Genomic DNA, 2,407 nt, shown 5'->3' with positions numbered 1-2,407 from the left:
TTGGTTATAATAATGGCTGTTAGTACTATTATAGTTGTTAAGATAATGGGTTGTGTTGGGAAAGAGTGCTGAGATGGGAGTTAAAATAATTAGCTACAAGTAACACAGTCTGTCTGTTTCTCAGTTTATTTATGTTAATTGTCCATGTTCCAATAGAATTGATCTTGAAGGTCTTTTCCTGGTTGCAAATCCTATGGCTAATCTATAGTTAAACCCAAAGGGATCTTTCCTGTTTTCACCATAACTGCATGGCTAGCAAATCTAGCAAATGCATGATGTTAAATTCACCAGAAGGAAGGACTCACCCATTAAGTTGCAATGTTTCCTTCCTCTCACTTACAGGGATGAATACCAACAGTCCGGCAGGAGGACCAGATCATCAATATATTTGCTCCCCTGTCTGTGGGTCAAGTGATGACATGGGCATCTCACGTGATCAGTTGTTGTTTCATTCTTGGATGGAACTTTGTTTCACTTCTTGTAGTTTCTATTTCTGTCCAGGGTTTATCAGCTAGTTCGCCAATTGGCTATACGACCCCAGCAATACACAGTAGGGCACCTCCTAGAAAGGCAACAGGAGGCTGTGAACATTGAAAGTTATGCAAACTCAGAGGGAGTTCCTGTTCTTTTCTTCTCCTTTATGTCAGTGTTTCTTTCCAGAACTCTTCTTTCCAGAACTCTTGAAAGTTCTGATCATAATCTGATCACAATCTCAACATTTTATCTGCAAATGTGCCTAGAAACAGTGACAAATGAGAGGGCTCCAGCTGTGCCATTGGTCATGCAGTTCATATGGCTGATCTTATTGGTGGGGGCAGGCAGGGCTGCCTTATACACAGGTTGTGCACTGCATAACTCTGGGGACTCCATTCAGAGAGACTAACACCCCCATGGGACTGTGCAGTATACAACGTGCACAACCTATCCCACGGTCCTGGGGGGCGATTACTCCTCCAATCTCACTTACGAACATCCTCCCCAGAGATACTAGAGAGGCAAGTGTGTCACAGTATGAGCTGCTCTTTGGTCAAGACAATATGATGAATTGGTCATTTCTGTTATCAACAGTATTTTTTTTAAATCAGAAATTCCCAAGCAGTATAGTGGGAATAAAGGGAAGGGGGCCTTGCCAGTAGATATGACCTCATTCTCCCAAAGAAAGAGCCAACACTGCATACTGACTATATTGCCCATCTGCCTGGTACAGCACAGTCCAGGAATTGCTTCTGCTCTGTTTCTTTTTCTGTACTTCTTATAATTAATTCTCTTTTCTCTCAAGTTATTTTGCAATTAAAGTCCACCAGATCTCACTGCATAAATAAAATATATGTATTTGGAGAGATAGATAAGTAGAGATACATATTTAGATGAGGGATGAATAGATAGATATGCAAGCAGATAGATGGATAGATAGAGTAAACTATATCCTTCCCCTCTGTGGCTATTACCTGTGTGACCATGCAAGGTTAGTTTATTCACATTCTGTCTCACTATCTGTAAATTAAGGACAACAAAAGAAGTGATATCATAGGGATGTTGTGACAATTAAATAAGATAGTTTATGTAAAGCCCTATTTTACTCCCTGGCATATAGTAAAACTTAAGTCAACATTAGCTATTTTGTTCATTGTTGTCATTGTGACCTTTTTAAAAACTGTTCTGGCAATACATTCATTTCTGCAATTAAGAGCCTAATCCTTCCCACACTTCTTGGTCTACAATGGATCTGGCCCACCTGCCCCTTTGTCCTCCCTCCACAGTCCTATTTGGTTCCTCTAGTCCTTTGCAGGATTTGTCTTAATTTGCACTAAATACCCCTCACAATGGTGTGTGTATATATTTTATTTTATTTATTTATTTTGACACAGAGTCTCACTCTGTCACCCAGGCTGGAGTGCAGTGGCATGATCTCGGCTCACTGCAACCTCCGCCTCCTGGGTTCAAGCGATTCTCCTGCCTCAGCCTCCCGAGTAGCTGGGATTACAGGCACATGCCACCACGCCGGGCTAATTTTTGTATTTTTAGTAGAGACAGGGTTTCACCATGTTGGTCAGGCTGGTCTCGAACTCCTGACCTTGTGATCCACCCACCTCGGCCTCCCAAAGTGTTGGGATTACTGGCGTGAGCCACTGTGCCCAGCGGTTATATATTTTTAATCTGCTTATAATCATTGTCTATTCTATCCTGGAAGACTGAAAGGTGTTTAGCTTTTTTTCACATAAGTATCTGTTTCTTCAGAATAACCAAAGGAAGTATCTATCACTGTTTCCTGGGGCTCATGACTGAGTTCCAAGCATGTGGCATTTTATCTTCTACAAAATGTGTCCTCCTCTTCCTCCTCCTTTCAGTGTCATCTTCCTGGCTTGACTATGTTTTAGTTTGGGTTCTCTCAAAAGTAATCCTGGAG

At 41.5% G+C, this 2,407-nt stretch overlaps 1 annotated feature.

The window, feature by feature from the left end:
• Positions 318 to 427: an enhancer, noted in NCBI's record as "active region_25712". NCBI's record gives its function as "activates an Ori minimal core promoter by ATAC-STARR-seq in GM12878 lymphoblastoid cells {active_cell/tissue: GM12878}" and the evidence as "EXISTENCE:reporter gene assay evidence [ECO:0000049][PMID:35858748]".

Source organism: Homo sapiens, chromosome 7 (genome assembly GCF_000001405.40).
Source record: "Homo sapiens chromosome 7, GRCh38.p14 Primary Assembly".
In the NCBI taxonomy this organism is placed as follows: Eukaryota; Metazoa; Chordata; class Mammalia; order Primates; family Hominidae; genus Homo; species Homo sapiens.
Note: the sequence above shows the minus strand (reverse complement) of the source record. Positions and strands in the feature narration are given on the sequence as shown.